This window comes from Homo sapiens, chromosome 1, assembly GCF_000001405.40.
Source record: "Homo sapiens chromosome 1, GRCh38.p14 Primary Assembly".
NCBI classification, from domain to species: Eukaryota; Metazoa; Chordata; class Mammalia; order Primates; family Hominidae; genus Homo; species Homo sapiens.
The window spans coordinates 151631182-151656776 of NC_000001.11; the positions used below are offsets into that span (position 1 = coordinate 151631182).

Below are 25595 nucleotides of genomic sequence, written 5' to 3' on the forward strand. Positions count from 1 at the left end.
TCTTTACAGTGTAGTTTCTAGTACAGTTGTACTGAACAACTAAGCAGTGAACCAGTGAAAAGTCAAAGGAAGTGTCTCTCTTCTCATATGCCAGGGGTCTTTTTTCCTTCAACTTCAGAGATCTCCTAATTTTTAAGAAGATATGTTGTGGAGAAGGTAGGGAGTTCATTTACAAAGCTCTGTATAATTGAGGAGATGATATAATAGCTGTGTTAAAGTTTTAAACATAGTTCCAGTCACCCTAACTCAACTATTTTTGTATTTTACATAATGTGCCTTATGGGCTAAAATAGAAACAATTTGTAATCTTCGTTTTTGCATTTAACATAAGAACTTCTCCATGTTTGCATATAGTTTTCATAAATATTTTTAAGATGTTTATAGTCCATATGTTTGATGTACTTCAGTGTCTTTAAAGGTTTCTCTAATGTTGGATATTATTTGGCTGAACAAATTACTTTTCAAATACTTGGTCAGAAGAAAATGCTTTACAATCTTAAATGCTTAAATTTTTTTTTTCCTTGAGACAGGGTCTCCTCTGTCACCCAGACTGGAGTGCGGTGGCGCAATCTCAGCTCACTGCCACCTCTGCCTCCTGGGTTCAAGCAATCCTCTCAGGTAGCTGGGACAATACGTGTGCACCACCAGGCCCAGCTAATTTTTAAAATATTTTTTGTAAAGGCGGAGTCCCACCATGTTGCTCAGGCTGTCTTGAACTCCTGGGCTCAAGTGATCCTCCCACTGCGGCCTCCCAAAGTGTTGGGATTATAGTTGTTAGCCACTGTGCTTGACCCTTAAAAATCTAACAAGTGAAATCTAGGCCTCCTAAGAAAAAGAATCTGAATTATGTTTGTAATGCACTATAATGGTATTTTTGCAGTGTTTGATGAATTTAACTTTTGTCCCTTACATTATGGCTTTGATAAACTTGAGAGATGCTGCTGTTATCTGACTTAACTTTATAATTTGTTGCGGAGGTTGTTTTTTTTTTTTGAGATGGAGTTTTGCTCTTGTTGCCCAGGCTGGAGTGCAGTGGTGCGATCTCGGCTCACTGCAATGTCTGCCTTCCAGTTTCAAGTGATTCTCCTGCCTCAGCCTTCCAAGTAGCTGGGATTACAGGCATGCGCCACCACGCCCGGCTAATTTTTGTATTTTTAGTAGAGACGGGGTTTCACCATGTTGGCCAGGCTGGTCTTGAACTCCTGACCTTGTGATCTGCTCACCTCAGCTTCCCAAAGTGCTGGGATTACAGGCATGAGCCACCGCACCTGGACATGTTGCTGAGGTTTTTAACTATACTAGGTTTGAAATATGTGTCCTATTGTTTATAGGAGATTAAGACAAAAAAGCCAAAGCAGAAGTAGGGGTAAACTAGCTGTGTCTTAATTTTCTTTTCATTACCTCCATGAAATAACCTTGTAAGACTTGGAAATAGCCAAAGTTTAGCTTATTTTCCACAAGACATGGGAGGTGAAGGAAAAAGCATATATTTTATTTAAGCAGTTTTATGCTGCAGATATGTACAGATTCATCTACTAGATATTTAACAAATTTATTCACAATAGCAAAACATTCAGAGTAATCTAAAAGTAGAATAGGGGTTATGCTTTTCACCCAGATGGTGGACTCCTATTTCACACTTACAGATGTGGATATTATATAATAATTTTTATTTTTATTTTATTTATTTTTATTTTTTATTTTTTTTGAGACGGAGTCTGGCTCTGTCGCCCAGGCTGGAGTGCAGTGGCACAATCTCAGCTCACTGCAAGCTCCACCTCCCGGGTTCACGCCATTCTCCTGCCTCAGCCTCCCTAGTAGCTGGGACTACAGGCGCCCGCCACTACGCCTGGCTAATTTTTTTGTATTTCTAGTAGAGATGGGGTTTCACCGTGTTAGCCAGGATGGTCTTGATCTCCTGACCTCGTGATCTGCCCTCCTCAGCCTCCCAAAGTGCTGGGATTACAGGCTTGAGCCACCGCGCTCGGCCAATAAACTTTACTGAGGCTTAATTAACATACAGTTAAATGCACACATATGAAGCATAGAGTTTGAGTTTTGGCAAAAGTATACATCCATTTAACCACCACCCCAGTCAAGATACAGACAGTTCCATCACTTTTTCTTTTTTTCCTGACACAGAGTCTCACTTTGTCACCTAGGCTGGAGTGCGGCGGTGAGATCTTGGCTCACTACAGCCTTGACTCCCAGGTACAAGCAATCCTCCTACCTCAGTCCCCAAGTAGCCAGGACTGCAGGCCTGCTCCAGGATGCCCAGCTAATTTTTTGTATTTTTTGTAGAGATGGGGTTTCGCCTTGTTGCCCAGGCTGGTCTCAAACTCCTGAGCTCAAGTGATCCGCCCTGCCTCTGCCTCCCACAGTGCTGGGATTACAGGCGTGACACGTAAGAAAGTTTCTTTGTGCCCCTTTGCATTCAGTACTATCCCCTCCCCTCCAGACAACAAGTGATTTGATTTCTACCACTAAAGAATAGTTTTGTCTATTCCAGAACTTCAAATAAATGGAGTCAAATGAGTCGGATTCTTTTCTGTCTCACTTTCCTCCCGCCGAGTGTATTTTTGAGATTTATCTATGTTGTTGGGGATGAGTAGTTTTTCCTTTTTATTCCTTTTTCCTTTTATTGCTGTGATACTCCACTTTATGAATATGCCACAACTTGTTTATCCATTTGCTTTTTGATAGACATTGGGTTGTTTTTTGTTTTGTACTATTTTGAATAAAGCTGCGGTGGACATTCAACTACAGTTGTTTGTGTAGATGTGTATGTGTGTTTTTTTTTTTTCTCTTGGATAATACCTAGGAGTGGAATTGCTGGGTCTTGTAGTAAATGTATGTTTAACATTATGAGAAACTGCTAGATTGTTTTTATTTTATGCACTTATCAGCTGTATATAAGAATGGCACTTGTTCCACATCTTTGGCAAAACTTGGTATTGCCACTCTATTTTAGCCATTCTTATAGACATGTAGCCATTGTGTAGGCATATAGCCATCTACAAAATTGAAATGTATGTCTTAGCACTTGCAGTTATAGGAATTTATTATCCATTTTTAATGGGCTGCCTCTGAGAGACTAATTACTTTTTTATTACTTTCGTGCATGTCACAGAGGGTCAAAATAGTATTTTGCTTACTATGTAGAATGGCTTTTTGCTGTGGTATATATAGTGATTGGGTTTGTCATATTTCCATTTATACCTAGTTTTCATTGTATATAGCTTCCTTCACAAGTAGTATACAAATCCTGACTAGAGCTTTTTCTCCTGCTTTTGGAAATGTTTATGTTAGCTTTGCAGTTTCCCTAGCTGGCCAACTTTGGTTGAATAGAAGTCTTATTTGAAGCCACTCCCATTAGCTAGCTTAAGGCCTCTCTCTATTGGGGCCAAATGTTGGTCTTATGTAAAAGTAAGTATTTTATTAAAATTATCGCGTGTGTCTTTACAATGCCAAAGACATAAAATAAATTAGATATCATCTGTGTAACTAAAGCAAATTTTCATCTTATTTGTGGATTGTTGGAATTTTTGGCCCCCTTAATTTTTTCCTTCATTTTATTATGAAAAGTTTCAAACCTACAGAAAAATTGAGAGAATTGTACAGTGAATACCTGTATACCTATCACCTAGATTCTATAATTACATTTTGTTGTATTTGCTTAATCGCATATGTGTTAGACATTTTTGATGATGTATTTAAGCTGCTGCCTTTCTTTATAAAAGCAGTATATATTGGTAGATCCTACTGGGCAGTCAGTACTTTTGTGTGATAAGAGAATTGGTGCTTCACTGATCCAGTGGTCTTGTGAAGCTGGCTATCTGTGAACCCCATTGTCATTGGTTGAGAGCTTAATTATTTATTTTCAAATGAATTTCAGCTAGATTATGTTACAAAGACAGAATTGAAAGGCAAGGGAAATTGCTGGTAGAAAAGGTTTGTATCATCAAGGAGGTGAAAATACTACCAACTTGTTTGCCCAATTGATACAAATACTATAACACAAATAGCTACCATTTATTGAGTAGTTACCATGTTCTAGAGCTTCCTCTCATTTTAATTTTCACAACAACTCCATTAGCCGATGATATTAACCCCATTTTATGGATTAGAAAATTGAGATTTAATGAGATAAAGTAATTTACTTAAGGGCTCATCCATTAAACAGCACAATTGGTATTCAAACCCAAGTCTGTTTGACTCCCAAACCCATACTTTGAACCTGAAGTCTGTACTGCTGAAAGTTTCTCCTTATTGAAGAATTTATATTTTGCATTAATTTATGTCTTCAGAATTATACAAAGTATTGGGCCACACCAAATTTGAGTCTGGTATAGTAGCCTTCTTGTAAAAAATTATATCATATAACATTTTTATGACTGTGAAGACCTCTTAATTCTTCAGGAAGGAGGGCCCTTTTTCAAATCAGACATCCTGGGGTTTTTACTGACCTTATTTCATTCTCTGAAGAATGAAGGAATTTCCCACTTTGTAGTAAGTCATGGAATGTATAGCATTCCTTCTATAGTTGAACCAGATAAATATTAGCAAGTCTGTTTAGAATATGACACTGGAAGTTTTTTCCTGTCTTTTTTTAAAAGAGGTTTTTGGAATTATAGTCAATCTGAAACTTGGTCTTACTAATAAAGAAGTGAAACCTAAGTGAGCTCCCTTGCTCCCTGATGGCTCTTGGTATAAGTCTCACTTAAGTTTCTCTGACGATTTTCAGGGTTTATTTTTGTGAGTGACCCAAGGAACGGTGTATTTTGATTTGAAAACTGAATGGGTGGAGGTGTGTATTGAAAGCAATAGTTCTGAATCTTTTTGGAGTTTATATACTCCTTTTTGAAGCTGATGAAAGCTAGGGAAACTCCCCAGAAAAAAACGCATAATAGGCACATAAAAAGAATTTTACATACAAATTTTGTAGATCCAGTGACTCTCAAGTCTACCAACAGAGTGCCCTAGATAAAAAATTCTTTAAAGGAAAAAAAATCAGGGAACCGAAAAGTAAGATTTGAGCATCAGTTTTTATTTTTCACAAATGTGCGTTTCATAAAATTGATTGCATTAACAGAAATTTTGTTTTGGTATTTAAGATTTTATTTTATTTCATTTTTTAAAAAACAGGATCTTCTTTTGTAACCCAGGCTGGAGTGCAGTGGCATGATCTAGCTCACTGCAGCCTTGAACTCCCAGGCTCAGGTGTTCTTCCCAGCTCAGCCTCCCAAGTAGCTGGAACTATAGGCACGTGCCACCAGGCCTGGCTAATCTTTTGGTATATTTCGTATAGAGACGGGGTTTCACCATGTTGCCCAGGCTGGTCTCAAACTCCTGAACTCAAGTGATTCATCTGCCTTGGCCTCCTAAAGTGCTGGGATTACAGGTGTGAGCCACACTGTGCCTAGCCTGTATCCAAGATATTAGTATTTTGGCCAGTCTTTAAGGTGTCAGCTTTTTCCACTTTTGTAAAAAAAAAAAAAAAAAAAAAAAAGGATATTCATGAGTTAGCTAAGGTTCCTAGGGATATATAAGAATGTATGGTGATTTCTAAACTTGCTTTTTCATTTTTTTTCTTATACCATCAAATCATTTTCTCAGAACTAGTAAGGCCAAATACTTAGATAAAATCTTTTGCCAGTTCCTTACTTAAGATTTCCATTTCTTCTTTAATCAAAATCTATATACATAGTACCTCTTTACTTCTTAAACCTTCTGATATAAATGTTTAGGAATTGTTCTACATGTTTTATTACATTAATCTTCACAGCAACTCTGTTAGGAACTTATTGTCTCCATTTACACATGTGGAAAGCAAGGCTAAGAAAGGTTAAAAACTCAGTCAAGACCAATTCTGGTACTAATAGTCAGGATCAGGATTTAAACTCCTGTAAGTAGCTCCAAAGCCCATTTTCTTTCCATTTTACCATGCTGGTATATGATCAGAGTTGATCACGTTTTTTTTGTTTTTTTGTTTTTTTTTTTTGAGACAGAGTCTTGCTCTGTCCGCCAGGCTGGAGTGCGGAGTGCAGAGTGCAGTGGCGTGATCTGGGCTCACTGCAAGCTCCGCCTGCCGGGTTCACGCCATTCTCCTGCCTCAGCCTCCCAAGTAGCTGGGACTACAGGCGCCCACCACCATGCCCGGCTAATTTTTTGTATTTTTAGTAGAGACAGGGTTTCACCGTGTTAGCCAGGAAGGTCTTGATCTCCTGACCTTGTGATCCACCCGCCTCGGCCTCCCAAAGTGCTGGGATTATAGGCTTGAGCCACCGCGCCCGGCGCCTGATCATGTTTTTTGATCACAGGTCTGACTGAATGAATTCAAAGCCCAAGTTTCCATCAGTGAAAGGGGCTCTTTATTTTTTTCTATAGCTAGCTTATTGTAAAATTACTGATTTTTTTGTATATAAGTTAGACTTGTAGGATGTGAAATGTCAGGAGTGCTGAATTTACTGGCTAGATTGTTAAACCCTAAATTAAATCCCAGGAGGCTAGCTGGGGGGTCTCCTGACTGTTCTGTTTATATAAATGGATATTTCAGATACCAGACTCTGACAGAGACAATTTCAGTGACTGAAAAGTTTATGGAAGGCTTGTTACTAAATTTAGTATCATTTTTCAGGAAGGAAAATCCCTAATGGTTTGGAACAGGACTGAAAAAGAATTTAACTCTAAAGGGTAGATAAGCTTTAAATGTTAAATTGATTAGAGGTCAGGTGTGTATTTCCTACCTCTCTTGGGATAGCCATGGGAGGGAACCTCCAGGCCTGCTGCCCAGTGGTTTTTGCTGAGAGAGCAGCTGGATCAGCATTCTGGAAGGTAGTTTGGTTTGCTGAGGGAGTCTTGTGAGACTCAGCATCTTTCTTGACAAAATACTTCATCTAAACCTTGTACTTTGTTTGCCTTATTTCAGCCTTTTGTACACAGCAAAACAGGAAGGAAAATTAGTAGGCTGACCATATAATTATAGGTGTATATTTTTTAGTTTGGACTGATTACACAGGACTCTAAATGAGATAGCATAGAGCAGGAAAAAAGTTGATGGAATCCCAAGAGGTTAATTGAATTGGAAACTAGTGTATGTGAAGAGTAATACCATTTAGCTCCCAAAGTAATGAAACTTGGCATAAAGGAAAATTAAGTTGACTGATTTGAGATATGGAGAGAAATTGGATGTAAATGTAAAGGAATTATCTTCAGTCATAACTTTTTTTGAGTCTCTATTTACAAATTAAGAGAATTTATTTTGTGAAGGTTCTTTTAACAGAATTCCTTTGAGGTTTAAAAAGGACAAAGTACAATTCAAGTGGCAGGGCTGTCAAAAGCCACTTTGATTGAATTGTATACATGCTTAGTTAGAATGAGGAAATTGGATTGTTTGACTGAAAAAGCTTTGTTTCCTCCTCAGCTTCAGCCTCTTTCCATGTGCGTTCCTGAAGCTATGTGTGGGATATTAGTATAGAGGAAGGGGAGGTCTTCTCACCTCTTTCCATTTTTCCCCCCGCCATAAGTTCACAAAGTTTTTCACATTAGAAACTGTTAAAACATAAACAACTTTTCTGGAACCAAATTAATCTTTTGACTTCATGGTTCATACCGTGTGACACTGGAGTTTGGGCAGGAGGGTGGAGATACAAGGTGTTTGGACCCTTCTGGTTTATGGGATTGTCTTTTTCCCTTTTTCCCCTTAGGAACCACGTGAATGTTGAGGGGGCGACACACAAGCAGGTGGTGGACCTGATTCGAGCAGGCGAGAAGGAATTGATCTTGACAGTGTTATCTGTACCTCCTCATGAGGCAGATAACCTAGATCCCAGTGACGACTCGTTGGGACAATCATTTTATGATTACACAGAAAAGCAAGCAGTGCCCATATCGGTCCCCAGATACAAACATGTGGAGCAGAATGGTGAGAAGTTTGTGGTGAGTGTCAGCCCAACTCGATCCTCGAACATCTAGCTTTGTTTCCCCTAGTCTTATAATTATGAAACTATTATAGTGGTAGATAAAAGGCTGCAACCTAGGTCAGTTTGTCTACCAGGAGGATGAGTTCACACATAAATAAAAGACACTGACCCTGATTTATTGCAGGGGGTGAATTACAGTAGTGGAAAAGAGTCCTACTCAGCTTGAGTATAATTCCATTTTATTTTTAGATAGTTTCAAGTTTGCATTCTGGTTTGTCGTAAACGTGTGAGTTTTTGTTTAGTTTCTTTTTTGTTTGTTCTTTTGTTGGTTGCCGTATCTCTTTGCTAATAGTATCTTATTTACTGTTGATTCTGTGGTGCTATAGGGCAAGATTAATGTAAAAGGATGGTGTCCTTCAAGATATTTGGGTAATAGAGAGGTTCACCCATTTCAGAACTTAGATGTCTCTACTCTTCTTTCCACATCATGTTCTTTTTCATTTTCTTTGGAGATATCCGTGTGAATGATTAACTGTGGTTTTTCCCACGAGTTTCCTGAATGCAATTCCCATGAGCTGTTTCACACATTTCTAATCTGTTGCTGTTGTAGCTATGCAGGAAAGCCCATCTTGAATTTTTAGTGATGTGTGCTAGCCCCTTTGCTGAATGCCTTTGTTCTTCAGAGCCTAATTGCCACTGATAGCTCAGTCTACTTAATTTTTCTTTTGGTTGCAATATGCTTTATTTGCCTTTAATTATTTGTGGAGTGTTGATATAATGAGAAATGTTCATTATTCTTAGTAGAAAATGCAGTGGGTTCTGTTAGATGCTGGCAAACAGACTACAGGTTTTAAAGCTTAACAGTTGACTAAAGTTACAGTCTCTAAAACTGAGATTTATCCTCTGCATAGGAACGAGCTACTAAACATTTATGGTAAATTCTTTTTAGTGAAGAGATAAGAAAAGCAAGGAAGCTAAAAGAGTTGCAGAGGATCAAATAATGCTTGGTTGCATCTGTAATTAGCTGTAGATAATGGCATATAGGTTTTATTTCAGCATGGACTTCTGTAGTCTTAGAACCACACACAGAATTTAGAGTTTTATGCTTCCTAAGTGCTAACTTTGAGTCATAAGGCATGTAAGAAGTTGAAATCAAGGTCACATCCTAAAAGTAGAGCAGTCTGGATGTTGAGACCTTTTGGGAATTACCTAAAACCTTGGAAACCTGAGAAAAGGAATAATACTACCAATTGTACCTTTGTTTATTTTTATTTTTATTATATATATTTTTTAAGACGAAGTCTCACTCTGTCCCCCAGCCTGGGGTACAGTGGTGTGATCTTGGCTCACTGCAATCTCTGCCTCCCGGGTTCAAACAATTCTGCCTCAGCCTCCCAAGTAGCTGGGATTACAGGTGCGCACCACCATGCCCTGCTAAGTTTTGTATTTTTAGTAGAGATGGTGTTTCACCATGTTGGCCAGGCTAGTCTCGAACTCCTGACCTCAGGTAATCCACCTGCCTCAGCCTCCCAAAGTGCTGGGATTACAGGTATGAGACACTGCGCCCAGCCCACTAATTGTACTTTTCAAATCAACTTTATTGAACATAGTTTACCTATATTAACATTCACTCATGTTAAGTCTCCACTTTTACAAGTTTTGACAAATGTACATAGTCTTATAACCACCACCACCACCATGAAGATTTAGAATATTTTCATACCCTCAAAAGTTCCCTCATGCCCTTTACAGTTAGTCCTCACCCCTTACCACTGCCCTTGTCAACCACGGATCAGCTTACTGTCACCATATTTTACATTTTCCAGAATGTCAAATAAGTAGAATCATACCATTTGTACTCTCTTGTATCTGGCTTTGTTCAGTTAGTATAGTGCTTAAGATTGGCAGACATTGTTATTTAAACCAAATATTTGTCCCTTTTTAATTGCTGAGTAGTAGTCCATTGTATAGATTTACTACAGTTTGTTCATCCTTTCATTGTTCATGCACATGTGGGTTGTTTGCAGTTTTGGACTAGTATGACTAAAGCTGCCATGAAATAATATTAAATGTACAGGTCTTTATGTAGACATATGTTTTCATTGCTCTTGAGTATATACCAAGAAGTGGAATTGCAGGGTAAGTGTAAGTTTAACTTTATAAAAAACTGCCAAACAGTTTTCCAAAGTGGCTATATCATTTTTACATTATCATATGCAGTGGAGAGTTCCAGTGGTTCCATAACCTCTTGATATTTTCAGTCTTTTTAATTCTAGCCATTCTCATGGACATAGTGATACCTTACTGTGGTTTTAATTTGCATTTACCTAATGACTCATGATGATGAGCTGCTTTTTGTGTGCTTAATGGGCATTCATGTGTCTTCATTGATGAAGTAGCTGTTTAACTCTTTTGCCCGTTTAAAAAATTGGGTTGTCTTATTATTTTATTGTAGGGGTTCTTTATACATTCTGGTTCTACAAGTCCTTTATCAGATATATATATATATATATATATATATATATATCATATGTATCATATATATATCATATGTATCAGATATATATATCATATATATCTGATATATATATCATATATATGATATATATAGCATATGATATATATCAGATAGATATATCAGATACATATATATCATATATATGCTATATATATCTGATATATATGAGATATATAAGATATAGATATATATGAGATATATATGTCAGCTATAGATATATATGAGATATATATATCAGCTATAGATATATATGATATATATATCAGCTATAGATATATATGAGATATATATATCAGCTATAGATATATATGAGATATATATATCAGCTATAGATATATATGAGATATATATATATCAGATATAGATATATATGAGATATATATATCAGATATAGATATATATGAGATATATATATATCAGATATATATGATATATTTTCCAGTAGCTTGAAAAAGGACTTAGATAAGCCAGGCGCAGTGGTTCATGCCTGTAATCCCAGCACTTTGGGAAGCTGAGGTGGGCAGATCACCTGAGGTCGGTGGATCACTTGAGGTCAGGAGCTCGAGACCAGGCTGGCCAATATGGTGAAACCCCGTCTCTACTAAAAATACAAAAATTAGCCGGGCGTGGTGGCAGGAGCCTGTAATCCCAGCTACTTGGGAGGCTGAGGCAGAAAAATCACTTGAACCCGGGAGGCTGACCTTGCAGTGAGCCGAGATTGTGCCATTGCACTCCAGCCTGGGCAACATCTCAAAAAAGAAAAAAAAAAAGGGACTTAGATGTTTTGTAAATATTTGAGTTTGCGACTTGCCTTTTCATTTTTTAAAACAGTATCTTTCAAGGAACAGAAATTTTAAATTTTGATATAGTCTCGTTTATCAGTTTTTAAATTTATGGATAATGCTTTTTTGTGTTCTAAGAAATCTACCTAACCCAAGGACACCAATCTTTTATGTTTTCTTACAGTTTTATAGTTTCAGCTATCTTTTTTTGTAAGAACTTTATTATTATTTATTTATTTATTATTAGTTTTTTGAGATGGAGTCTTGCTCTGTCACCCAGGCTGGAGTGCAGTGGCGCAATCTTGGCTCACTGCAAGCTCCGCCTCCATGGTTCACGCCATTCTCCTGCCTCAGTCTCCCGAGTAGCTGGGACTACAAGTGTCTGCCACCATGTCCGGCTAATTTTTTTGTATTTTTTAGTAGAGACGGGGTTTCACTGTGTTAGCCAGGATGGTCTCGATCTCCTGACCTTGTGGTCCACCCGCCTCGGCCTCCCAAAGTGCTGGGACTACAGGCGTGAGCCACCGCGCCCTGCCTATTTTTTATTTTTGTTTTATTTTATTTTATTTTATTTTTTGAGACGGAATTTCACTCTTGTTGCCCAGGTTGGAGTGCAACGGCGTGATCTTGGCTCACTGTAACCTCTGCCTCCTGGGTTCAAGTGATTCTTCTGCCTCAGCCTCCTAGAGTAGCTGGGATTACAGGCATGTGCCACCACACCCGGCCAATTTTGTATTTTTAGTAGAGACAGGGTTTCTCCATGTTGGTCAGGCTGGTCTGGAACTCCTGACCTCAAGTGATCCGCCCGCCTCGGCCTCCCAAAGTACTGGGATTACAGGCATGAGCAACCACGCCTGGCCTTTTATTTATTTATTTATTTATTTATTTATTTATTTATTTATTTATTTTGAGACGGAGTCTCCCTCTGTCACCCAGGCTGGAATGCAGTGGTGCGATCTCGGCTCACTGCAACCTCGGCCTCCCGGGTTCAAGCAATTCTCCTGCCTCAGCCTCCCCAGCAGCTGGGACTACAGGCACATAGCACTGCGTCCAGCTAATTTATGTGTTTTTAGTAGAGATGGGGTTTCACCATGTTGGCCAGGCTGGTCTTGAACTCCTGACCTCATGATCCGCCTGCCTCGGCCTCCCAAAGTGCTGAGATTACAGGTGTGAGCCACTGCACCCAGCCATAAGAACTTTATTAAGATATGATTTATATACCATACGTTCACCTAAAGTGCACAATTTAGGGTTTTTTTTATTTTTTTATTTTTTAGACAGAGTTTCGCTCTTGTTGCTCAGGCTAGAGTGCAATAGTGCAATCTCGGCTCACCGCAACGTCTGCCTCCTGGGTTCAAGCAATTCTCCTGCCTCAGCCTCCCGAGTAGTTGTGATTACAGGCATGTGCCAGCACGCTCGGCTAATTTTGTATTTTTAATAGAGATAGGGTTTCTCCATGTTGGTCAGGCTGGTCTTGAACTCCTGACCTCAGGAAATCTGCCTGCCTTGGCCTCCCAAGGTGCTGAGATTACAGGCTTGAGCCACTGCGCCTGGCCAATTTAGTTTTTAGTGTGTTCACAGAGGTTGCAGTGAGCCCAGATCACACCACTGCACTCTAGTTTGGGCAACAAAGTGAGACTTCGTCTCAAAAAAAAAATAGATAAATAAAAGTACAATTAGTAATTTCATTCCTTTTCTCAAGTTCCCAAGGTTTTAGGTAATTCCCAAAAGGTCTCAACATCCAGTCTGCTCTACTTTTAGGATGTGACCTTGATTTCAACTTCTTACATGTCTTATGACTCAAAGTTAGCACTTTTGAAGCATAAAACAAATTTGTAACATTTTCATCACCTCAAAAAGAATCTCATTCCTTGTAGCCATCATTTTCCAAACCTCCCATCCCCTCCAATTCTAGGAAAGCACTAATCTATCCTCTGTCTTATAGATTTGCGTATTCTGGACATTTCATAGAAATGGAATCATGGTTTTTTTTGTAACTGGCTTCTTTCACTCAGCATAATATTTTTGAGGCTTATTCAAGTTGTAGCATGCATCAGTACTTCATTTTAACATTCCATTATATGGATATACCACTTTTATTTATCCATTCTTCAATTGATGGACATCTGGGTTCTTTCCACTTTTGACTATTATGAATAATGCTGTTATGAGCATTTGTGTACACGTTTTTGTGTAGATATGTGTTTTCATTTTTCTTGGATATATACCTAGGAATGGAACTGCTGGGTCATATGGTAACTCTTTAGGTTTAACCTTTTGAGGAACTGCCAAACTGTTTTCCGAAGTGGCTGTACCATAGTTTTTACTCTTACGTTTAGGTCTGTGATCCATTTTGAGGGATTTATTTATTTATTTATTTAGTATATTGTGATATAAAGGTCAAGGTTTTTTTGTTTGTTTGTTTTTGAGTGTCAGCTAGGCTGGAGTGCAGTGGCGCAATATTGGCCCACTGCAGCCTCTGCCTCCCGGGTTCAAGCGATTCTCCTGCCTCAGCCCTCCTGAGTAGCTGGGATTACAGGCATGCGCTACCACACCTGGCTAATTTTTGTATTTTTAGTAGAGATGAGGTTTTGCCATGTTGGCCAGGCTGGTCTCAAACTCCTGACCTCAGGTAATCCACCCGCCTCGGCCTCCCAAAGTGTTGGGATTACAGGTGTGAGCCCTTGACCAGGGTCAAGGTTTTGTTTTTGATTTTGTTTTTATATGGATATCCAGTTGTTTCACAGCAACCTGTGTTGAAAAGAAAGTTCTTTCCTCATTGAAATATCTTGGCATCATTGTGGAAAATCAATTGACTATGTGTGGTTCTATTTCTGAACTTTTTACTCTGTTTCATTGGTCTGTTCCTTATGTGTCTGAACATTTGTGTCATTTTGGGATTGGTTTCTGTTAAATGTCTTTTCCCTTGAGAATGGGTCATATTCTTCTGGTTCTTTGTATATTGAGTCATTTTGGATTGTATCTTGCATATTTATGAATGTTACATTGTGGAGACTCTGGGTTCTGTAATATTCCTCTGAGGAGTATCGATGTTTTTGTTTTAGCTGGCAATAAGCTGTAAGCTGTGTCGCCTTCTGTGGGTTAAACTTCAAATCTCAGTTTAATTCTTTCAGCCTTTGCTGTGCTACTTTGAGTCTGTATACATCCAAGAAGGGATTAGTCTGAGATACATGTGGTGTTTATTCTTAGAATTAAGGATCACCTTCTCTGGTTTTCTCTTGTCTTGGATTCTCCACTCACTCTGGTAGCAGCCATGGTTACCTAGAATCTTTTCCCTATATGTTTGAGTCAGAAAGACGTCACTTTCTGAGTTTTAGTTACTTAAATTGTGCTATTTTGTAACTTATGCCCACAAGCAGGGCAAAGCCCTCTTAATGCAGGAGTGTACCCCACCCTGTGCATCATTGCTCCATGTTTTGAGTCCCCTCCACAGTCTGCCTGCTTTTAGTGTGTAATTCAGACTCCTCAGATAATTGTTTTTGTATTTCGTCCAGAATTTATAGTGGTTACAGCAGAAGGGTTGGTCTACAGGAAGTGTATGCACTACTTGAAATGGAGTTTTCAGTTCTGTCAGGTTTTTCTTTATTTATAATGAATATTATATCTTGATGAATTGATCCCTTTAACATTATTTATCTCTTTATATAAGTCTCTATCTGTAATATATCTATCTGTCTTTATCCCTGGTAATATTCTTTGTTCTGAAGTCTTTCTCTCATATAACATATGAGCCACTAACATATAGCCACTAGTAGCCATGTCACCTTTCTTTCGGTTATTGTTTTCGTTGCTATATTTTCCATTTAACCTATTTATACATTTATAATTAAACTGGGTTTCTCATAGAAAGCTTAGAGCTGGGTCTTGCTTTTTTATCCAGTCTGGCAATGTTTTTATTTGGAATGTGTAGACTACTTACCTTTAGTATAATTATTGCTATAGTTAGGCTAAATCTACTATCTTGTTCTTTGCTATCTATGTTGTATCATTATTTATTTTTTTCCTCATTTCCTGCCTTCTTTTGGATGGATAGAGTATTTTTAAATGATTCTATTTTATCTCTACTATTGTTTTATTAGGTATAATTTGTTTTTTTTCTTGGTTTACAGTATATATCTATAATTTATGAACATTTACCTTCAAATTATATATTTGAATTTGTAGTTGTATAGACATAATATATAGTACATATATATTATATATAGTATAACACTGTATATAGGTAAGTATATCTAATATATCTAATTTTATAATATATAAATATATAATATATATTTGTATTGGCCATTTTGTCCCCCCGTCAGATGTTAATTCCTACAAATTTGTGAGTTTTCTAGCTTTCCCTCTGTTACCAATTTCTAACTTTACCCCACTGTAGTTATAGAAGATACTTAGCATAATACCTTCTGTGTGTGTGCGTGTGTCAAGGTTTCTCTCTGTTGCCCAGGCTGGACACAGACACACACACACACACACACAAACAAACACACACTATATATATAATTTAAGACACTTACAAGAGTATATTTCCCCCCGCCATCCTTTGTGCTATTGTTGTCATACATTGACTTCTATATGTGTTATAAACTTAATGATACATTGTTATCTTTGCTTTAAACAATTGCCTTTTAGGCTTCAGGATTGTCAGTTAAATATAATTGTTTTTGCCTGGGTCTACTGACAGACAGGTTTACATCATCTCTATTACTTTTTTTTTTTTTTTTTAATTTGTTTTTTGTTTTTGAGCTGGAGTTTTGCTCTCATTGCCCAGGCTGGAGTGCAGTGGTGAGATCTCAGCTCACCACAACTTCCGTCTCCCAGGTTCAAGTGATTCTCCTGCCTCAGCCTTCCGAATAGCTAAACTACACGTGTAAGCCACCATACTTGGCTAATTTTTGTATTTGTAGTAGAAACAGGATTTCACCATGTTGGCCAGGCTGGTCTCGAACTCCTGACCTCAAGTGATCTGCCCACCTTGGCCTCCCAAAGTGCTGGGATTACAGGCATGGGCCACCGTGCCCAGCCTATTACATGTTTTAAGGTCATAAAACTGCTACTTCTGGAATATTTCTTAAACTTGCTTGATTTGTCTAAATTGAGCTAAAGCTGTAAGGTCTGGCTGCTGGGCTCCCTGAAACCTTGCACATATCTTACTGTATGACTGTATTTCGTTTTGAGTCTCTGGATTCTGGGGTTTGGACAGATGACCATAGTGAGGCCTGCAGAAATATGCATGTCCTCAGTGTTTGGACTGCCAGCTGCAAGGCAGAGCCAAACCCAATATGGCCCCATCATCCCTGGCTCAGCTGTGCTACCTGGCCATGCTGGAAGGGGTTTGATCTTCCAGGAATTTGCTTCACAGCTCTTTCCTGTCCCAAGATCTATGCCTGATGTGTAAATTCAGGACCCAAAAGGGCACAAAAAAGCAATAACTACTAAATATAAGGAAAACAACTCTGTATACAGCATGTATAAAGAAAAGCAAGGTATATTTGGGGAGATAAAAGTTGTAAAGGCATTAAGATGTGTGTTTGTTGAGAAAAAATAAATTTGTGCATTTAAGAAGTTAAAAAAAAAAACAACAAAAAAACAATTGCCTTTTAAAGAGTCGGGGTTTTTTTGTTTTTTGTTTTTTGTTTTTGTTTTTTGAGGTGGAGTCTCACTCTGTCACCCAGGCTGGAATGCAGTAGTGCAATCTTGGCACCCTGCAACCTCTGCCTCCCAGGCTCAAGTGATCTCCCACCTCAACCTCCTGAGTAGCTGTGACCACAGGTGCGCACCACCACGCCCAGCTCATTTTTTGTGTTTTTGGTAGAGATGGGGTTTCATCATGTTGCCCAGGCTGGTCTTGAACTCCTGAGCTCAAGTGATCCGCCAGCCTTGGCCACCCAAAGTGTGCTGGGATTACAGGCATGAGCCACCACGCCTGGCGTTAAAGAGATTAAACATGAGAAAAGAGTTATTTTATATTTGATCACATATTTACCATTTCTTTCTTTCTTTCTTTTTTTTGAGACGGAGTTTTGCTCTTTTTGCCCAGGCTGGAGTGCAATAGCGCGATCTTGGCTCACTGCAACCTCCACCTCCCAGATTCAAGCAATTCTTCTGCCTCAGCCTCCCGAGCAGCTGGGATTACAGGCATGAACCACCACGCCTGGCTAATTTTGTATTTTTAGTAGAGACAGGGTTTCTCCATGTTGTCCAAGCTGGTCATGAACTCCTGACCTCAGGTGATCTGCCCACCTTGGCCTCCCAAAGTGCTGGGATTACAGGCGTGAGCCACCATGCCCAGCCCATATTTACCATTTCTGATGCACTTTATTCCTTTGTGTAAATCTAGTTTCTGTCTGGCATTAGATTCCCTCTGCTTGAAGAACTTGCATTAATATTTCTTGCATTAATAGTGCAGGTCTGTTGGCAATGAATTCTCTTAGCTTTTGTTGATGTGAAAAAGTCTTCATTTCACCTTTATATTCGAAAGATTTTTTCAGGGTATAGAATTCTTGGTGGATTGTTTTTTTCTTTTCTTTTTCTTTTTATTTATTTATTTATTTTTGAGACAGAGTCTTGCTCTGTTGCCCAGGCTGGAGTTCAGTGGTACGATCTCGGCTCACTACAGCCTCTGCCTCCTGGGTTCAAGCAATTCTCTGCCTCAGCCTCCCGAGTAGCTGGGATTATAGGCGCCCGCCACCACGCCCAGCTAATTTTTGTATTTTTAGTAGAGACAGGGTTTCACCATGTTGGCCAGGCTGGTCTTGAACTCCTGACCTCGTGATCCACCCGCCTTTGCCTCCCAAAGTGCTGAGATTACAGACGTGAGCCACTGTGTCTGGCCGATTTTTTAAATTTTTATTTATTTATTTTTTTAAAGTACCAAAAGAAAAAAACAATCACTCCATTGTAATCCCAGCACTTTGGGAGGCTGAGGCAGCAAGATTGCTTGAGGCCAGGAGCTTGAGATCACCCTGGGCAACATACTGAGACTCTGTCTCTACAAAAAATGAAAAAATAGCTGGGCATGGTGACACAATGCTGGTAGTCCCACTTACTTGGGAGGCTGAGGCAGGAGGATCACTTCAACCCAGAAGGTTGAGGCTGCAGTGAGCTGTGGTCATACCACTCCACTCCAACCTGGGAGACAGAGCTAAACCCTGTCTCAATTTAAAACAAAATCACTCCAGTCTTCTGGTTTTCATAGTTTCTGATGAGAAGCCTGCTTGTTTTATTTTTTGGTCTTTTCTATGGATTATTTTAACCCTCTCTGGCTACCTTCAAAGTTTACTCTCTTTTTAAAAAACAGAGACAGGGTCTCACTCAGTCATCCAGGCTGGAGTGCAATGGTGCAATAATAGCCCACTGCAGCCTTGACCTCCTGGGCTCAAGTGATCCTCCTGACTCAGCCTTCCGAGTAGCTGGAACTACAGGAATGTGCCACTGTACCTGTCTAACTTTTATATTTTATTTTATTATTTTATTTTTTTGAGATGGGGTCTCACTGTGTCTCCCAGGCTGGAGTTCAGTGGCACCATCTTGGCTCGCTGCAACCTCCACCTCCCAGGGTCAAGCAATTCTCCTGCCTCAGCCTCCCAAGTAGCTGGGACTACAGGTGTGCATCACCACACCCGGCTAATTTTTGTATTTTTACTGGAGACAGGGTTTTACCATGTTGGTCAGGCTGGCCTTGGACTTCTGGCCTCAAGTGATCTGCCCACTTCAGCCTCTCAAGATGTTGGGATTACAGGTGTCGGCCACCGCACCTGGCCACCTAATTTTAAAAATTTTTAGTAGAGATGGGGTCTTGCTATGTTCCCCAGGCTATTCTCACACTCTCAGCCTCAGCAATCCTCCTTCCTCAGACTCCCAAAGCACTGAGATTACAGGCCTGAACCACTGCACCTGGCCTGCAGCATTTTCTCCTTATCTTTAGTTTTCAGAGTTTCATTTTTACATGTCTAGGTGTTTGTTTCTTATTTGTCCTGCTTGAGGAATATGTGGTTTGATATCTTTTATTATTTTTGGAAAACTATCAGCCAGTATGTTTTCAGACATTTCTTCAGCCCATTCTTTTTCTCTTGCCTTTCTGGAGGTTCTAGTTACCTGTGTTTTACACTGTTTGATATTGTCCTAGAGCTTTTGGGTGTTTTATTCTATTTTAGCTCTAATTTTTCTCTTTTTTTTTAAAATTTATTTATTTTTTATTGATAATTCTTGGGTGTTTCTCACAGGGGGGATTTGGCAGGGTCATAGGACAATAGTGGAGGGAAGGTCAGCAGATAAACAAGTGAACAAAGGTCTCTGGTTTTCCTAGGCAGAGGACCCTGCGGCCTTCCGCAGTGTTTGTGTCCCTGGGTACTTGAGATTAGGGAGTGGTGATGACTCTTAACGAGCATGCTGCCTTCAAGCATCTGTTTAACAAAGCACATCTTGCACCGCCCTTAATCCATTTAACCCTGAGTGGACACAGCACATGTTTCAGAGAGCACAGGGTTGGGAGTAAGGTCACAGATCAACAGGATCCCAAGGCAGAAGAAGTTTTCTTAGTACAGAACCAAATGAAAAGTCTCCCATGTCTACTTCTTTCTACACAGACACGGCAACCATCCGATTTCTCAATCTTTTCCCCACCTTTCCCGCCTTTCTATTCCACAAAGCCGCCATTGTCATCCTGGCCCGTTCTCAATGAGCTGTTGGGCACACCTCCCAGACGGGGTGGTGGCCGGGCAGAGGGGCTCCTCACTTCCCAGTAGGGGCGGCTGGGCAGAGGCGCCCCTCACCTCCCGGGCGGGGCGGCTGGCCGGGCGGGGGGCTGACCCCCCGACCTCCCTCCCAGACGGGGCGGCTGGCCTGGCGGGAGGCTGACCCCCCTACCTCCCTCCCAGATGGGGCGGCTGGCGGGGCGGGGGGCTGACCCCCCCCACCTCCCTCCCGGATGGGGCGGCTGGCCTGGCGGGGGGCTGACCCCCCCCACCTCCCTCCCGGACGGGGTGGCTGCCGGGCGGAGACGCTCCTCACTTCCCAGATGGGGCGGCTGCCGGGCAGAGGGGCTCCTCACTTCTCAGACGAGGCGGTTGCCGGGCAGAGGGTCTCCTCACTTCTCAGACGGGGCGGCCGGGCAGAGATGCTCCTCACCTCCCAGACGGGGTCGCGGCCAGGCAGAGGTGCTCCTCACATCCCAGACGGGGCGGCGGGGCAGAGGCGCTCCCCACATCTCAGACGATGGGTGGCCGGGCAGAGATGCTCCTCACTTCCTAGATGGGATGGCGGCTGGGCGGAGATGCTCCTCACTTTCCAGACTGGGCAGCCAGGCAGAGGGGCTCCTCACATCCCAGATGATGGGCGGCCAGGCAGAGACGCTCCTCACTTCCCAGACGGGGTGGCGGCCGGGCAGAGGCTGCAATCTCGGCACTTTGGGAGGCCAAGGCAGGCGGCTGGGAGGTGGAGGTTGTAGCGAGCCGAGATCACGCCACTGCACTCCAGCCTGGGCACCATTGAGCACTGAGTGAACGAGACTCCGTCTGCAATCCCGGCACCTGGGGAGGCCGAGGCTGGCGGATCACTTGCGGTTAGGGGCTGGAGACCAGCTCGGCCAACACAGCGAAACCCCGTCTCCACCAAAACCAGTCAGGTGTGGCGGCGCGAGCCTGCAATCGCAGGCACTCGGCAGGCTGAGTCAGGAGAATCAGGCAGGGAGGTTGCAGTGAGCCGAGATGGCAGCAGTACAGTCCAGCTTCGGCTCCGCATGAGAGGGAGACCGTGGAAAGAGAGGGAGAGGGAGACCGTGGGGAGAGGGAGAGGGAGAGGGAGAGGGAGAGGGAGAGGGAGACGGAGAGGGAGAGGGAGAGGAAACTGAATCTTAATCTAATTTTTCTCTTTAGATAATTTTTATGGACCTATCATTAAGTTTGCTGATTTTTTCCTCAGCTGTGTCCAGTCTGCTGATGAGACTGTTAGAGGAACTCTTCATTTTTGATACCACGCCTTTTTTTTTTTTTTTTTTTTCCTCAGACGGAGCCTTGCTCTGTCACCTAGGCTGGAGTGCAGTGGTGTGATCTCGGCTCACTGCAACCTCCGCCTCCCAAGTTCACGCAATTCTCCTGCCTTAGCCTCCCGAGTAGCTGGGACTACAGGCAGCCGCTACCACGCCTGGCTAATTTTTGTATTTTTTTTTAGTAGAGACAGCATTTCACCATATTGGCCAGGCTGGTCTCGAACTCCTGACGTTGTGATCCACCCGCCTCGACCTCCCAAAGTGCTGGAATTACAGGCGTGAGCCACTGCGCCCAGCCCATGCGTTTTATTTCTGTCACTTTCATTTGTTATTTGCTTGTAATTTTCACACCTGCTGAAATTCTGTATCTGTTCATACATGTTTTCTGCCTTTTCCTTTTGCATGAGATCTTTAGCATTGTTAATCACGGTTATTCTAATAATATGCTGCCTGATAATTTCAACATCTGGGTCATCTCTGAGACTGTTTTATCTCTTGACATAATGTTGGGTTTCTTTTTTTTTTTTTTTTTGAGATGGAGATTTGCTCTTGTTGCCCAAGCTGGAGTACAATGGCTCGATCTTGGCCCACTGCAACCTCCGCCTCCCAGGTTCAAGCAGTTCTCCTGCCTCAGCCTCCTGAGTAGCTCGAATTACAGGCATGTGCCACCATGCCTGGCTAATTTTGTATTTTTAGTAGAGACAGGGTTTCTCCATGTTGGTCAGGCTGGTCTTGAACTCCTGATCTCAGGTGATCACCCGCCTTGGCCTCCCAAAATGCTGGGATTACAGGTGTGAGCCACCGCACCCAGCCTTTTTTTTTGTTGTTGTTGTTTGTTTGTTTGTTTTCCATTTTTGTTCTGTAATATTTAACAATGTCAAGCATCATGTGTGGAATAATAGTAGAGATGACTGAAGTAAATAGTGTTTCAACTTGGAAATGGGCAATACTCTTCTGTTAGGGAATGTAGTCAGTTAAGCTGGGCTTGAATTTTGTTATAGCTATCATTACCTTTACTGTGCCATAGGCCTCAAGTTTCTCTAGCAATGGGTTGCTATTACCTTGTGCTTAGAGTGAGGGCTGGGGTTCTGAAGGTTTTTAAATTTATTTATTTTTTGTTTTTTGAGACAAGCTCTCCTTCTATCACTCAGACTGGAGTGCAGTTGCACAATAATGGCTCTTTGCAGCCTTGACTTCCTGGCTTAAGCATTCCTCCTGCTTCAGCCTACCAAGTAGCTGGGACCACAAGCACACGTCATCACATCTGGCTAATTTTTTTTTTACTTTTTGTAGAGACAGAGTCCCACTATTTTGTTCAGGCTGGTCTCAAAATCCTGGGCTCAAGTGATCCTCCTGCCTTGGCCTCCCAAAGTGCTGGGATTATAGACAAGAGCCACTGTGCCCAGCCTGGAGAGTTTTTTTTGTTTTTTTTTTTTTTTGAGATGGAGTCTTGCTCTGCCACCAGGCTGGAGTGCAGTGGCGCGATCTTGGCTCACTGCAACCTCCACCTCCTGGGTTCAAGTGATTCTCCTGCCTCATCCTCCCTAGTAGTTGGGACTACAGGCGCACACCACCACGCCAAGCTAATTTTTGTATTTTTAGTAGAGATGGAGTTTCAGCATGTTGGCTGGGATAGTCTTGATCTTTTGACCTCGTGATCCACCCGTCTTGGACTCCCAAAGTGCTGGGATTACAGGCGTGAGCCACCGTGCCCGGCCGACCCTGGAGGGTTTTTTTCAGTGTTTTGTCCTCAGGCTTTCAGCCACCTGTGCATACCAGTACCACAGACAAGTTCTCTCTTTACATTCTTACCCCTCTGCTACTGGTAGACTACTCTTGCTTTTTACTTGGGCTAGACTCATGGTAGAGGTAGATGTTGTGTAGTTCACCCTTAGTCTTAGGCAGAATCTGTGTCTCTGTGTCCTGATTCTTTTGCCCTTCCTTCTTATTGCAGCCAAACTCGGCCTTGTATCTGTGGTTAGTCTTGGGAAAGCGTTTCCTGTCCCTCCCTCAGCTATAGCCGACCTCTGCTTGGTAACAGTGGAGGAACCTGGGCCTAATATGGTTTCCTGCCTCTCCCCAGGGGTATAGAGTATTTTACTTTTACTCCTTCCCCTGAAGAAGTGGATCTTTGCCTGTGCACTCTGAATGAGAGGATTTACTGCCTGTCTTAGCCTGTTTTCACTGCTTTAATAGAATAACACAGATTGTAGGTCATTTATAAAGAAAAGTGATTTGGCTTACAGTTCTAGAGCCTGAGAAGTCTAATATCAAGGGGCCACATCTGGTGAAGGCCTTTCTGTTGTGTTATAACATGAAGGAAGGCATTCCCTGGTGGGGAAGTGCATGTGAGACAGAGAGCAAATGGGGCCCAAACTCCTGAGATAAATAACCCACTGCCTCAATAATGACATTAATCACGAGAGTTTTGCCATTACCTCTTAAAGATCCCACTTCTTAATACACTTCGTAATCCCACTTCTTAATATATGATAGCTGCTTAATGTCCTTGTCTACTGATTCTTTTGTCTTGGTAACTTCTGAGCCTGTTTCTACTGACTAATTTTTATCCTGGTCATAGGTCAAATTTTCATGCTTTTTTATATGTCTAGTAATTTTTGATTGGATATTGTATATTGTGAATGCAGTGTGATTGGGTGCTAGATTTTGTTACATTTCTTTAAAGAGTGTTGGAATTTTTTTTTTTCTCCTGGCATACAGTTAAGCTACTTAAAGATTACTTTGGTCCTTTTTAGCTTTGTTTTTAAGCTCTTTTTGAGTAGTTTAGAGTACCTTTTACTCTAGAACCAATTTAGCTCCATTCCTAAAGCATGGTCTTTTTGAGTTCCCTTCTAAATTCCATGCAGATTTAGGGAGGTCTCTTTATTCTGGCTGGAGGGAAGTTGAATGATTCCATAACCTGTGTGAACTCTGGGAATTGTTTATTTACTGCTCCCGGCTGATAATAGTTCTTTCCTTAGATCGTTATTCAGTCAAAATTCAAGGGAACTTAATACAGATTTCTGGAGCTATGTCTTGCTTTAGCTCCCTCTTGCATGATTAGTCCTGCAAATTGTAGCTGCTTTGGCCTCCTCGAACTTCAGTTTCTGTTTATTCAACTCAGTGAAGTTGCCAAACTCTGTTTGGGTACCCCTCCCTGAGCTGCAGTTTAGGAGTTACCTCTAGGCAGAAAGCTGAGATTATGTTAGGGATCATCTTGTTTGCTTCCCTTTTCTCAGGGATCACCGTTCTTAGCTGCCTGTTGTCCAGTGTCTGAAAATAGTTGTTGCCTACATTGTGTCCAGTTTTCTGGTTGTATTTAATGGGAGGTTAATTACCACCTGGAAGTCCACAGATTGTTCTATAAATGGAGAATGTTTTTTATTTAGGGATGATTTGATTAAAAGTTGATTTTAAATATTCTTGGCTTTAAAAGAAATGCCAGTGGAACTCTACTTCATATTATATAGAGGAATAAGTTCCAGATGGATTAAGGACTTAAATGACAAAACAAAAAATTAAAAGCTCTTGGCCGGACACGGGTCTCACACCTGTAATCCCAGCACTTTGGGAGGCCGAGGCGGGTGGATCACGAGCTCAAGAGATCCAGACCATCCTGGCTAACACGGTGAAACCCCGTCTCTACTAAAAATACAAAAAATTAGCCGGCCATGGTGGTGGGTGCCTGTAGTCTCAGCTACTTGGGAGGCAGAGGCAGGAGAATGGCGTGAACCCGGGGGGCGGAGCTTGCAGTGAGCAGACATCGTGCCACTGCACTCTTAGCCTGGGTGACAGAGCGAGACTCCGTCTCAAAAAAAAAAAAAAAAAAAAGACCAGTGACAAACTGGAAGAAGATATTCACAATACACACAAATGAAACAGATTATGTCAATATATAAAGAACTCCATAAATCAAATCAATAAGAAAAGCCAAAAAACTTAATATGAAGGTAGGCAAAACGCATGAGTAGGTACTTTACAAAAAATGACACTCACATGGTCAATAAGTATATGAAGAGATATTAAACATCATTAGTAATTAGGATCACAGAAATCTTTTCACACCAATTCCATTGGCAAAATTAAGAGGATCTTTTTATATATTGCTGAAAGAGAATAAATTGGTACAACCACTTTAGCTTACATTTCGGCATTATCTCCTGAGGTTGAATATGCATATAACTCTGCAGTTCACTCAGGGTTGTACTCAGAAGAATATCTTTTGCATGTACAGCAGGAGGCATTTATACAAATGTCAATGGCAGCATTATTCACGGTAGCTAAAATCCAGAAACAACCCAAGTGCTCATGAGTGGGAGAACAGATTAAAAACAAACGAGCAACTATGATATATTCACACAACA

General features: G+C 41.1%; 1 protein-coding gene across 10 annotated transcripts in view; it reads left to right on the forward strand.

Moving 5' to 3' along the window:
- SNX27 (sorting nexin 27) overlaps positions 1-25595 on the forward strand; it is an 87031-nt gene that overhangs the window by 19132 nt on the left and 42304 nt on the right. For 5 of the 10 annotated variants that reach the window (NM_030918.6, NM_001330723.2, NM_001437604.1 and 2 more), the window contains exon 2: positions 7707-7938. The exons of the other annotated variants lie outside the window; for them this stretch is intronic. In NM_030918.6, the coding sequence (NP_112180.4) occupies positions 7707-7938 (232 nt within the window). The remainder of the gene's footprint in view (positions 1-7706; positions 7939-25595) is intronic. 10 annotated transcript variants of the gene reach the window in all.